The sequence below is a fragment of the Homo sapiens genome, chromosome 7 (assembly GCF_000001405.40).
Source record: "Homo sapiens chromosome 7, GRCh38.p14 Primary Assembly".
Classification (NCBI taxonomy): domain Eukaryota; kingdom Metazoa; phylum Chordata; class Mammalia; order Primates; family Hominidae; genus Homo; species Homo sapiens.
Window position 1 is genome coordinate 24,138,619 of NC_000007.14, and position 14,107 is coordinate 24,152,725.

Here is a 14,107-nt window from a genome sequence, read left to right on the forward strand (position 1 = left end):
GATTGTTTGATATAGAGGCAGGAAATAGTTCAGTCAAACTGTAGGAAAACTACAGTGATAATTTCATGTTTAGACATTCCAAGGCCCCTTTTGTTACAGCATGTCAGGGAAGCATTTGAATGTACAGTAATACCTCTTAGTTATTCAAAACATATGTCCATGAAATATTTGAGCTTTTCAATAACACATTATTATAAAGGGCTTATATGTTATTTCTTCTTTTTGAAGGAAAAACAAAATAAGACCAGGACAAAAGAGAGAAAGTATAGAAAAGAGGGAAAAATATTGTTTTGATTTTAAATGCAACTCACGTAAAAAAATGAATCCTCCCTGTAATCCCAGCACTTCGGGAGACCGAAGGGGGCAGATCACGAGGTCAGGAGATCGAGACCATTCTGGCTAACACAGTGAAACCCCATGTCTACTAAAAATAGAAAAAAATAGCTGGGCTTGGTGGCGGGCGCCTGTAGTCCCCGCTACTTGGGAGGCTGAGGCAGGAGAATGGCGTGAACCCGGGAGGCGGAGCTTGCAGTGAGCCGAGATCGCGCCACTGCACTCCAGCCTGGGCGACAGAGGGAGATTCCATCTCAGAAAAAAAAAAAAAAAAAGAATCCTCAGAAGTGAGTCAAAATTCTTTCAAATCTGACTTTTCTGGATGGATGAAGCATAGGCAGGATGCGAGGAGGAGACTGAGTTCCTCTTCCGGTCTGGGGAAGAGTGTGTCACTGTGGGGCAATGAACCGAGAACCTGAAGCCTTCTTTTCTCTGTAAGTCACAGATGTGAAACCCCGAGGCTCAGCTGCATACTGGACCCTTGTAATGATTCTGCCCCGTACATGCAGGGCATTGGACAGAGGGAATAAAATCTTGAGGATTCAGTGTTTCAAGGCTGGGAGACTCGGGAGCTGTAGAAAAGGCATCTGGGAGTCTTTCTCCCCATTGTGGTCCACTGGCAGTGAATTTCTCCAACAGTACCAGGCAGTTGAGGGAAACCTTCATTCATTCATTCACTCATTCATTCCTCCACCAACAGATGCTTATTACGACTTCAATGTCTCAGGAGGGGTTTGTAAGTTTAAAGTCCCTAACTTAATTAGCCAATGTTACAAACGTATTTTTTCCAGAAGGAAGACAGCCATGCAGTGGGGAGCAGAAGCAGCAGGTCTCAGTAGAGCATCCTCTGGCCCCAGAGTCAGTAATGGAACACTCTGTTTGCCACGGTCTGAACTGATCTAGAGACCTTTTTCCTTGCCATGTCTCTGCCCTTGTAGCCTCACTGCAAATAACTCACACTAGCAGTCTATTTGCTTTCATTTCAGTGACTATTACAAATGTTACTCTTTCTGATTCTTGTGTAAACTCAGCGTCGGCAAGGATCCTTCCTCCTCTGAGAGGATAAAGCAGAATCAGTGCCCAGAAGTTCGAACCAGACAGTACCTCTGCCTTGCAAGACCGTACTACAAGTCAAGAACTGACTTCTCTGGGGACTCAGTGAGAGCCAGACACTCTGGGTCTATGCCCTGGAGGAGCTTGCAGTCAAAAAGGAAAATCAGGAAATGTGCCTCTGCCCAGAAGGCACAGTGGCCAGTGCAAAGTGCTGCAGAGGGGAGATCTCATACACAGTGCAGCCCTCGTGACTCTGAGCCATGCTGCCAGGCTTCAGTATCACTCTGCTGCTTACTAGCATGTGAGCTTAGGCAAGTTATTGAGGTGGTCTGGGCCTCAGTTTCCTCAGCTGTAAAATGGGCTTAATAATAAGCACCTACCTCTTAGAGTGGTCCGGAGGAGTAAATATCAATATATGAAAAGTGTGTAAACAGTGCCTGGTGAGCAGTCCATGTTGCCTTTTGTTATTATTATCTACATCTGCTTGTTATAAAGGTCAATTCCCATTACTATGGAACTCATGTTCATTGCTAAAAGCAATAGTGTGTGACCTTCCCTTGTCTTTTTATTCTTTGGAGCTTGTTTTATAAAGAGAGTGTTATCTCTCTGCAATGCAGCAGACCTTTGGAGATAGCACCAAGTTGGTGTCTGCACACACAAGCCATACCATACTTCCTTGGGCTGTCCAGAAACTCGTTGGCAGGTGGCCCTTGCACCCACATGGCTCAATGGGGTGGCCCCATGGTTGTGCCACATTGCCCAGGGACTTAACAAGCACCATTCCTAGCTCTTCTGGATCCCACAGTAACTTTTCAGGTGAGTGCTTCCTTTCCTGGATCGCTTTTTTTTTTTTTTTTTTTTTTTGAGACAGCATTTCACTCTTGTTGCCCAGGCTGGAGTGCAATGGCACAATCTCAGCTCACTGCAGCCTCTGCATCCCGGGTTCAAGCAATTCTCCTGCCTCAGCCTCCCAATTAGCTGGGATTAAAGGTGCTCGCCACCATGCCCAGCTATTTTTTTTTTTTTTTTGTATTTTTAGTAGAGACGGGGTTTCACCATTTTGGCCAGGCTGGTCTCGAACTCCTGACCTCAAGTGATCCACCTGCTTCGGCCTACCAAAGTGCTGGCATTACAGGTGTGAGCCACCACACCTGGATCCTGGATCACTTTTAAATGATGTTTAAATGTGTTATTCACACTTCCTAGATTTCTTCTAATGAGAAGAAAAGGGCTAATGAAACTGGAAGCCTTCTGGAAGCTTAGTGCCCTGCTCTGTATGATGGCATCTATACATCCCTCTCCATGCCTATCTTTGAGTCTCTCCTCTGCAACGATGTGGCTTTTCTCTATTTCCAGGCTTCCCGGGGTCTCTTAGAGTCTCTTACTATCTGTTTTCCCAAGTTGTTGTTAGACACAGCACCACCCTTTTGTGGCATGCGTTTCTGGTGTTTAAATCCTGGTGGCTTCATGAGATGTAAATGGGGACTCTTAGAGGACGTAAAACTGTCCATGTTTGAGGATGGAATGGATAAGACAGCCAGCTATTTAAATGTTGGTAGATTGAAATCAGCCATGGTAGGAGTCACAGAACATCATGGAACTTGGCAGATTCAGAGTGCCCCTTGCAATCTTGTCTTCTGGCATTTCTGGCATGGATTAAAAATAAGAAAGAAGTTGGAGCTGGAAGCAAATCAGAGGTATGCTTTCTCAGCTGTCTTCTTGAAAGTTTGGCTCACTACCTTAGAATCCAAGCTTTTCTACTTCCTAAAACAACAATAACAACAACAAAAAAGACCATTAGTTCACAAGATTTAAACAAAACAAAACATATTTTTTCTGCAACAAATACTTACCTTTTTGCCCTACTAAACTAGCTTCCCAGGGAACTCCAGCCAGATAAATGAGAAGAACAGAGGAGTGAATTCTCCTAGGAGCCATGAAGGAGGAGATATTCATTAAATAACCCAGTGTGGGGTTGCTAAATGTCACCATAATTAAGCAGGTCTACCTAGAGACGTTTAACTGGCCCCAGCACATTGTTGGTGATGACTCCTTTCCAGAAGTCCCCCGGGCAGTTGGCAGGACTCCTGCTCCCAAGCCAGAGATCTGAGCTTCTCTATCTCTCTGCCCAAGCAGTGTATGCACGGCTTTCCATTTCCCTTTTCACGGTGTCTCCTGAAGAGGATGAGCCGGGGGCTGCTTCATTTAGCAGTTAGCTTCTCGCTGATCCATAAATTTCTTGGCAGGCAGGGGGCATGGTGCGGAATAGCCAAGTGGATGTCAGATCCAGTGTGGGGGCACTGGGGAACTGAGCGGAACGTTGGTCCTGACTCCAAGGCAGCTGCTGGCTCGAGCTGTGCCAGCCTGCACACCAGGCAGAAGAGATGCTGGCCCGTCAGCCATCGCGGAGTCCCAGACCCATGGGGAAGGTTGACGTCAGCCACACATTAGAATCATCTGCGGCAGTTTTTAACCTTTCAGTGGTTAAAATCTAAAGACATAGCTTAGACCAATCACATGAGACTTTCTGGTGATGGTGCCCGGGGATAAGGGGTTTTGAGATAGGTGATTCCATTGTGCACTCAAGTTTGAAAACCACTGCCCTGAAGAGTGAGGGCAAATTCCCAACACGGATCCAGCTGGTGGTTCTCATTCTGGGGTAGCACAGCCTCTCTAGGGGGACATTGGAGAACCTAAGAAGGTTTGACAGCAACTGGGGCTACTACTGGCATTTAGGGAGTGTGGACCACAGGTATTCAAAGCCTCTGTATTTTGTAGGACAGTTCTTCACAATGATAAATGCCGAATCTCTAAGGTAGGGGTGTGTGTGTGTGTGTGTGTGTGTGTGTACTGAATGTGAGAGACACTGGATACATGTGGTCTCATCCGCTGTGGAGGAGGGGAGGCAGCCTGGTCAGCTTCAGTTGGAGATATTGGTAATGCAGACACGAGATGTAGAGTCTTTTCCTAGAAAATCAATAACCTGCTTGAAGAGGCCTCTCCACAGAGATTTGTCTAGAGAGAGCACACTGGCTTTGTATGTGTGTGTGTGTTTAAAGTAAGCTGCAAAATTCTTTGCTATTTTTCCCATTTCTGTGGGAAGAATTGCTATTTTTCCCACTTCTGTGGAAGATTCACAGAATATTCCTGAATCTGAATGCGAATCATGGCTGAGAGGCCAGGTCGGCGAGGTTGGGGTAGAGGCATTTGTGCAAATGGCACTGGCCAGGGTTCCCCAAGAAGGCAATGACTTCCCACCTTCTTAATTTGGCAGATTCCACATGATCCATTTGGTGCCCAAAACAAAGCAGATGAAATGTCTGGCCATCCCCATGCCAATTATGAAACACCTATGAGATCTGCTATTACAGGCAAGGAGTCACCTATGAACTATGAAGGTGTGTTGTCTAAATTTAATCAGCCACCTGCCCTGCCTGCATGGATGTGTTGTGTTTCTGTGGTATTTCCAGCATCTCACCTTAGTGTACAGCCTTGCCTTGCCCATCACGACAGACATGTCTTATCATGGCTTGCATACCATGGCAGACACACTTCATCATGGCTTGCACACTACATCAGGTGCATATTATGGTTTGCACATCATAGCAGACACACTTCATCATGACTTGCTGCAGGTTTTCACCACGGCTGGCACAGTGGGGAGACTGCAGCAAAAGGAATGGAGCACTGAGCTGGACCAAGAACTGAAGGTTCTCACTGGGCATGTTTCCAGGCTCCACAGGGTGGCCTGCGGTCACAGTCCTAGAGAGTCAGAGTTCTCTTTCGAAGAATCTGATCTTGCTGAAATCACCATCAGCTAGTTTTTTTAAAGTGTTTGTGAGCCACTCTGCCTGAGGTCACAAAATGCAAGGGCACTAGGGTGTGGGAGTCTGGTGACTTGAGAGCAAAGGACCTGACGAGGGGTTCCCAATGCCAGCCACTTTAGAATCAGCTGAGAGAGCTTTTTACAAAACACCACCTACGTTCCTACCATAGGCCATTTGAATCAGAATGTCTTCCGGGGGTCCAGGTATTACTAAACTCTCCAGGTGTGGAGGACACACTCTAGGGTGACCCCTGAAGATGAGTCACATCCTGTGGAATCCCCTCCCATTGAGCGTGTATAGAACCTGTGACCTGCTTCTAACCAATAGAATATGGCAAAGGTTAAGGGATATCATTCCCATTACATTATATGGCAAAAATCAAGGTATTTTGCAGCTATAACTAAGGTCCCTAATCGGTTGCCTTTGGGCTAATTAAAAAAGGAGATTATCCTGGGTAGGTGTGATGGGTGTAACCTTTACAAGAAGATTTAGACCTTCCAGGAAGTCAGAGACTTAAGACAGCAGAAACTCTCTCTTCATTGCTGGCTTCGAGGAAACAAGGTGCCACGAATTCAACCATCACAAGAAAATGAATCATTCCAGCCATCTGAGGGAGCTTGATGCCTCTTGATCAAGCCTCTGTGTGCCAGTGTTCTGGCCAACATCTTGATTTCAGCCTTCTGAGATCCTGAGTAGAGAACCCCTGCAGGCCATGCCTAGGCTTCTGACCTACAGACCTGTGAGATAATCAATGGGTATTGTTGACTAAGTTTCTGTTAATTTGTTGTAGAGCATAGAAACTAACATTAAGCGATTCTAACATTCACCCAGTGTCAAATATCCCTGGACTATGTGATTGCTAAGGGTCTGTCCAGCTTGGGAGTGCTCTGATTAATAATGAGGTTAGGAATGATTATCCAGAATTCAGAAATAAGGAAAAAGATGACTTGCATGTCATTGCTAACAGGCTCATGCAAGGTTTAATTATCTACGGGAATGAACTGGTGTTTGCTTAACTATTTGATTATATCCCAGATACTGTGTTAACTTGAATATTTTTTGTCCAGTGGAAATACAAATGATACTACCTGCCAGAAAAGATAATCCCAAAGGTTATGACTTATTGCACTGTAGTATCTTTACCAGTTTTGTAACTAACCCAGCAATTTTATTCTGACATTTATTTATTAAATTATATATAAATACTCTGCTCCCCAAATGTTCTTTGGACCAGACTTACTAATAACGATCCCTTCATTAATTAATGAATTAAATAAAATCTCTGACACACATCCATTTTATATTTGTGTGATTCATTTTCAGTTTTCTGAAAATTAAACTGATGACTTTTACAAGGTGATTTCAGGTAACAATATTTTTATATACACTCTTATTTGATGCTGTAGTGGCACAGGTAGGAAATAAAGGTGTGTATTCATTTTGCAGGTGAAGACACCAAGTCTAAGAGAAAGTAAATAATTTGATCAAGACCACGAAGCTAATAAGTGCTCCTGCCTCAGCCCTAACTCAGATTCTTTGCCAAGTCGTGTGTTCTTTCCCAACACCAAACTGTCCTTCTGCCTTACACAAACAGCACTTTATAAAGAGTGTAAAAGCATTGTTTCCCATTTAATCCTTCTAACAGTCTTTTGACATAGGCACTATATACTCCATTTTAAAATTAGGAAACTGAGCATAAACAGTTTTATATAACTTGACCCAAATCTCACAATGGCAGTTAGAATTCAAACAGGCAGCCTGGCTTCTGCATCCAGTCTCTTACTCCTCGTGCAGTGGCTCTGAAGAGGACTCTTGGTGAAGCAATTGCTTACTGGCCCAGGGTCCCCACTCCCATCTGAAACATCTGGTAAGTGGCTCTAAGACGTTGGAACTGCTCTGCTCTGAGATCAGATTGAATAGCACACCAGCCCAGGACCTGAGAGAGACTGTCAGCTCCTTCTGTGCATTTCTCATGGTTCCCTTTGTCTTCCACAATAGATAACTTAGAGGTTTGCAAGCGATTACAAGTGGGCGACTGCAGTCATCTACGAATGTGGTTAATAGGCAATACCTAGCCAGAACCCAGCTGTCTACTTTGAACCATTGATTATGAGTGAAAGAAAAAACATTCTTTTCGCTATGGGAAAGACATTTACACTCATTTACAGGGGGCAGTGTGAGCTCACTCAACCAAACAGAGCTATAGCTAAATTGCAAGATTTTTAGAGACAAGAGAGAATATTTGGGTTATCAAATAGTGGGAAATGTCTCAGTCACACATAATGTCTGTATCTTAAACTTCTTTAGTTTTTCTGGATCATCCACAATTTCATTTCATCTAGATCCAAATTCTCTTTCCTGTTAGAACCAGCTCTTGATATACCTGTTTTGTGATTAGGATAATGCTTTTTTTAAACTTGTTGCAAAAGATCTCTCTGAGGCATCAAGGAACATGGCTTGATTCTACTGTTGAAGGGCCAGAACTGATCTGTGGCCATCCCTCACCCACTCATATGATTGTATTCGTTATGTTATTCACTCAGTTTTCTTCTTTCCAAACTGGATTTCCATTTCTGTAGTGGCAACAGGGCTAACATGTATAACTGTGTCATGCCAAAGGGCCCCCAGCTGAGTTGGGGGGGCCTGAATCTGAAAGCTCAGTCCCCTCTCTGCAGGCCAATTGGGGTATCCCAGGGTCAACTATGTTTGCCTGAAGGAAAGGGCTTCTCTTTCTAATTCACACGCAGGAGCTATATGGGCAAATAGAGTATCTGCTGTAACCTGTCCTCACATGGAAGCTGAAATGGAGAATTCCTGTTTAAAATGGCCACTTCACTTTCACAAGTGAATAAATGTTTAAAACTTTATGCATTTAAATAGTGTTCAGTTTTTAAGGGAATTCTCTAAGTATTTCTCTATATCAGCAGTCCCCAATCTTTTTAGCACCAGGGACTGGTTTCTTGAAAGACAATTTTTCCATGGACTGGGGTGTGGGGAGTGAGGATGGTCTGGGGATGATTCACGTGCATTACATTTATTATGCACTTTATTTGTATTATTATTACATTATAATATATAATGAAATAATTATACAACTCATCATAATATAGAATCAGTGGGAGCCCTGAGTTTGTTTTCCTGCAACGAGACAGTCCTATCTAGGGGTGGTGGGAGACAGTGGCAGATGATCAGGTATTAGATTCTCATAAGGAGCGTGTAATCTAGATCTCACATGTGCAGTTCACAGTAGGGTTTGCACTCCTATGAGAATCTGATGCCACCACTGATCTGACAGGAGATGGAGCTCAGACGGTAATGGGGAGGGGCTGTAAATTACAGATGAAGCTTTACTGGCTCGCCCACCGCTCCTCCTGCTGTGCAGCCTGGTCCCTAACAGGTTGTCTGTGACCCAGGGGTTGGGGACCTCTGCTCTATATGACAGAAATACAGTACAGGAAGTCAGCTAATATAATTTCCCATGGAAACTTAATATTTCCTAATTGATGTTTTCATCATGAAAACTATCATCTTTGCTTTGTTATGACCATGTATACTTGAGTGAATTTTAATCTCAATCATATAATTTCCTTGAGAAAAGCTGTACTATTAGTTACAAATTGTGTCCAAGAAATTATATAGAATCCAAATAAACTATAAATGTTTGAGGTGATGAATGTGCTAACTACCACGGTTTGATCATTACATAAAGTAGACATGTGTCAAAACATCACACTGTGATATGTGTAATTATTATGCGTCATAAATATGTATAATTATTATGTGTCAATGAAAAACCAAAAACAAAGATAACAAGTCAGTTTTTAAAAATGATTGCTATTATAGAGGGTGGCTTGCTTATTTCTAAAGTAGCACATCCTTCAAAATAGTGTAAGGAAAGGTAACATTCAGTGGTTGTTGTGGAGATGTTGCCTTGAAAAGCATGGTTGCCTGCATTCTCTTTTAAGGAAAGAAAAGAAATTTATGAATTGGCCTCCAGTGCTTAAACTGCAACCCCTCCCCCCCACAAAAAAAATCCTCTCCTCTTGTCTCCTATCAGATATGCAAGTCAAAGACGCTATTACTCTAAATCTCAATTCATGGCATTAAAAATTCAGGTTTATTGAGGTCTTAACTTCATGCAGTAAAATAAATCTTGTTAGAGTACACTGCAATGAGTTTGACAAAGGCTTATAGTCATGTAATGACTACCACAATCAAGATATAGAACAGTTCTATTACTCCAAAAATTTCTCCTGTTCAACTTTTTTTGTAGACCACCTCTAACTCTATCTGTAACCCCTGGCATTCACTAATCTGATTTTTTTGTACCTATAGTTTTGCTTTTTTTAAAATGTCATATAGTTTTTTTATAAAACTTCTAGAATAAATAATAGGTAAAAATATGTAGTACTTTGAGTTTAGTGAGCTCCTACCATTGAGGAAGGAGAAGGATGTCACACAGCATGTAGCTTTTTGAACCTGGCTTCTTTTATGTAGCAGAATGCAGTTGAGATTAACCCATGCTATTGTGGGTATCCATAGTACATTCCTTTCTGTTGCTGAATACTGTGGATGTACAACAGTTTGTTCATCTACTCATCAGTTAAAAGATATTTGAGATGTTTCTAGTTTCTGGTGATTATCAATAAAACTGCTGTAAACATTCATGTATATGTTATTATGTGGACGTAAGTTCCACTTCTCTTGGGCAAATACCTAGGAATGGGAGACTCGGTGAATATGTTTATCTTTACAAGAAACTGCCAAACTATTTTTCTTCCCAGGTAGCCGTATGATTTTGCATTCCCACCAGCAATGAACAAGAGTTCCAGTGGCCACTTCACTAAAACTTGATATTGTCATTTAAAAAATTTATTGTAGCCCTTCTAATAAGTATGTGGTAGTATGTGAGCACTTTTTCATATGCTTATTTGCTATTTTTATACCTTCTATAGTTATGTAATTATTGCCACCCCCTTGTAAAATTGGGTTGTTTTTCTAGTGTTTTGAGACTTCTTTGTTTTGAGAATTCTTTATATATTCTGGATACAAGTTCTTTATCAGAGATGTGATTTTCAAATATTTTCCTCCAAGTCTATGGCTTGTCTTTTCATTCTTTTAAGTGTCTCATCCGCACTGTTTAATTTTGAGAAATCCCAAATAATTACTTTTTTAAATCGATCAGGCTTTTTATGTCATATTGAAAAAGTCATCACCAAACTCGAAGTACTACATATTTTTACCTATTATTTCTTCTAGAAGTTTTACAGTTTTAAGTTTTACGTTTAGTTCTTTGATTCATTTTGAGTTAATTTTAGTATAAGGTGTCAGGTGGTTTGAGTTGTTGAGATTCTACTTTTTTTTTTTTTTTTTTTTTTGCCTATGGGTGTCCAACTAATCCAGTACCATTTATTGAAAAGTCTATTCTGGCCAGGTGTGGTGACTCACACCTGTAATCCTAGCACTTTGGGAGACCAAGGCAGGGGGATCACGAAGTCAGGAGTTCGAGACCAGCCTGGCCAATATGGTGACACCCCATCTCTACTAAAAATACAAAAATTAGCCAGGTTTGGTGGCACGTGCCTGTAGTACCAGCTACTCAGGAGGCTGAGGTAGGAGAATCACTTGAACCCAGGAGGCGAAGGTTGCAGAGAGCCAAGGTTGCACCACTGTACTCCAGCTTGGGTGACAGAGAGAGACTCCATCTAAAAAAAAAAAAAAAATTAAATTCTATTCTTTCTCCATTGAGTGGCCTTTTAAACTTTGTCAAAAATAAGTTGATTGTGTTTGTGTGGTCCAACTTCTGGTCTTTCTACTTAATGTGTCTATTCTTTTGTCAAGTCTACAGTGTCTTGATTACTATAGCTTTTATAGTAAATTTTGAAATTGAGTAGTGTGAGTCCTTGAACTTTGTTCTTCATTTTAGTAATTGCTTTTGCTAGTCTAGTTACTTTGTCTTTCCATGTAAATTTTAGGATTGGCTTGTTGATATCTAAGCAAGAGCTTTTTGACTGAGATTGCCTTGAATCAATTAGAGAGAACTGACTTTTTAACAATATTCAATCTTCCGATCCATGAACATGGTGGATCTTTCCATTTATTTAGATCTTCTTTGATGTATTTCATCAGAGGTCTTTCATCAGTATACAGATCCTATGTATATTTTGTTTAATTCCTACCTAAGTGCTTCATTTTTTGTGCTATTGTAAACGGTATTTTTTTTTAAAAATTCTAAATTCCAATTGTTCACTGCCTGTATAGGGAATATGATTGACTGTTTTCTATTGGCTTTGTATTTCTACTAATTTTACTCATTAGTTCTATGAGCTTTTTGTGTACATTAGTTAGTCAGTTCCAGAAGCTTCTTTTTGTAGATTGTTTGGGATTTTCTACAAAAACATGTTGTCTGTTAATAGAGATTGTTTTATTTCTTCTTTCCCATTCTATTTGTCTTTTATTTATTTTTCTTCTCTTATTGCATGGGCTAGAATATAGACAATATTAAATAAAAGTAATGAGTGGATATGTCTTTCTTGTCCCATTTTGGGGGAAAAACATTCAGTCTTTCAACTGTTAAATATGATGATACCTGTAGATTTTTTGTAGATGCCTTTTTTAGGGGTGAGGTTCTATTCTTAGTTTGCTGAGAGTTTTTGTCATGACAAGATGTTGAATTCTGTCAAATGATTTTTCTGCACCTATTGATCTGATCATTTGGTTCTTCTTCTCTAGTCAGGTGATATCATGCATTATATTTGATTTTTGAATATTGAACCAGCCTTGTATTTCTAGGATGATGCCAACTGTTTCATGATTTTTTTTTATTATTGCTGAATTTTATTTGCTATCATTTTGTATGCATCTACATTAATGCATCAACATTAACGAAGGATACTGGCCTGTAGTTTTCTTACTTTGCAACGTTTTTGTCTAATTTTGGTTTTAGGGTAATGTTTTTCTTCCTTTCCTTGTGTGTGTATCTCTTAATTTTGGATTGAATGTGAATACTTTGTGAGATGGTAGAGACTGAAGTAAATATATTTATGCCTAGAAATGAACATGGCTCTTCTGATTGGCCACAAGAGTGTGTTTGGTGGGGGGTAGTTGGGAGTGAAGATGAATTGATCTGGAATTGAGCTGGATTTGGGCTTTTTGGTTGCTGTGGTTGCTGTCAGTTCACCCCGTCTGCTACTCTAATAGTGTTACATTATGCTTAGGGTGAGGACTGGGTTGCTGGAGGGCTTTTCTCAATGTTTCTCTCTGCCTACTCCAGAAGGTAGTCTCTCTCTGTACTCTTGCTCTTCACACAGCATTAATTTACTGTTTCTTGTCACTCTGTGTTTGCTAGCCTCGGGGCGGGAGGTGGCCCTGTCTCAGAATCAGGCGCCCTGTGCCTGTGGGTTTCACAGGCAGGGCTTTTCAGTCATCCTTCTCCTTCCTCGATGGTAGGAGCTCTCTAACATTCTGTGCTGATAGTTTCCCAATCCTTCCCCAGGATAGAGGTTTTCCTTTCTTTCTCCTTCCTTCAGACACTGTGGATCTTTCTCTGTGCCCCGGAGGCTACAGGTTTACTCCCCTTACTCCAGGAAGGTGAAGTCATTTGTTTCACAGGGGAGAAGGGCTTTGGAAGGGGTGATATTCACTACCAGAGGAGGTTCTCTCACATCTCCCATCCTGCCCTTCTCTGTGCTTGAAGAACCTGCAAAGTCCCTTTGTGTCTGCAGTTCCCAGGGTTTCTCTTCTTTGATGCTAGCATTAGCCTGTAGCAATACATTAAAAATTTCACCTGAGTTCTTACTTGTATGGTGCTTGGCTTTCCTGCCTTCCATATTCTGCCACAGGTGAGTTTGTGCCCACATTTCATCTCTTCTTGGAGATACCTGTCTTTCCTTAGACTTGGTTGCCTGTGGCTTCAGCTCTCTGATGAGTTTTACAAACTATAATTTTCTATTATCTGGATTTTTCTTGTTGTTGGTATGTTATCAAAGCTCTTTCCAGCTTTCAACATCCTAAGCAGGAATCAGAACTCCCATCCATTGCATCTTGATGGATACAAAATGCAAATGCTAAGTACAGTCTCATCCACATTCAATGCTACTACCTTTCCTCCTTGGTTTAAGATAATTTTATATATCCTTGATTTTTCTCTGCATTCCTAAAAAACTATTATGGATCAGTGATTTTCTTCCTAAATGTTCTTCTTACTCAATGCCACTTTTCTGGAATGTTTTCCTTCATAAGTCCCATCCCTTCTCCTTCTCCCCAGTCTGGAGCAGTGCTCAAGAGCCAGATTGGAAAGCATGAACCAGGGTTATGCAATGACGTGCCTGGGGCCAGAGTTCCTGTGAGAGGTGGGACCTCCTGAGGTCAAGTAGAATGGGGGCTGGGTCTAGTGTCATTTGGGCATTAAAAGAAAATAGGACCCCTTGAGTCCTGAAAAGTTTGAAATATCAGAATTTTAAACACTCTAGGAGGCAGATTGTTTTGACTGGTGGGGATATCTGGAAGATATAGGAAGAAAGTAATTAGGAAAAGAAAAACTCTTAAAAACCCCTCTCTTGATGCTCTCTTCACCTCTAAGCACTGTGTAGTAGACAATAAACTGCTCACTAAATATTTCCAGTTCTCCAGGTGGCACATGGTAGAGTTGCCTTTCCCTCCCCCTTGAGTTAAGTGTAGGCATGTGACTCACTTCTGGTAATAAAATGTGAGCAGAAGTGATGTGTGCCACTTCGAGGTGGAGGTTTTCAGAGCCAATGCATCATTTGCCAAGTTTTCATTTTACTTCTTTCACAGCAATGGGCAGTGTTCCACATAGGGACTGCCAGGCTGGGTCCTAAAGAGAGGACACAGAGCACAGTCCCCAGTTGTCCTCAATGAACTTGTAGCATAAG

At 41.5% G+C, this 14,107-nt stretch overlaps 1 long non-coding RNA gene across 1 annotated transcript in view; it reads right to left on the reverse strand.

Annotated features, from left to right (window-relative positions):
- Window positions 1-2,663: 2,663 nt before the first annotated feature.
- The window catches only part of LOC107986777 (uncharacterized), a 303,857-nt gene continuing 292,413 nt past the window's right edge, over window positions 2,664-14,107 (reverse strand). Inside the window, exon 4 of the long non-coding RNA XR_001745132.2 lies at window positions 2,664-3,150. This is a non-coding gene — a long non-coding RNA (uncharacterized LOC107986777). The remainder of the gene's footprint in view (window positions 3,151-14,107) is intronic.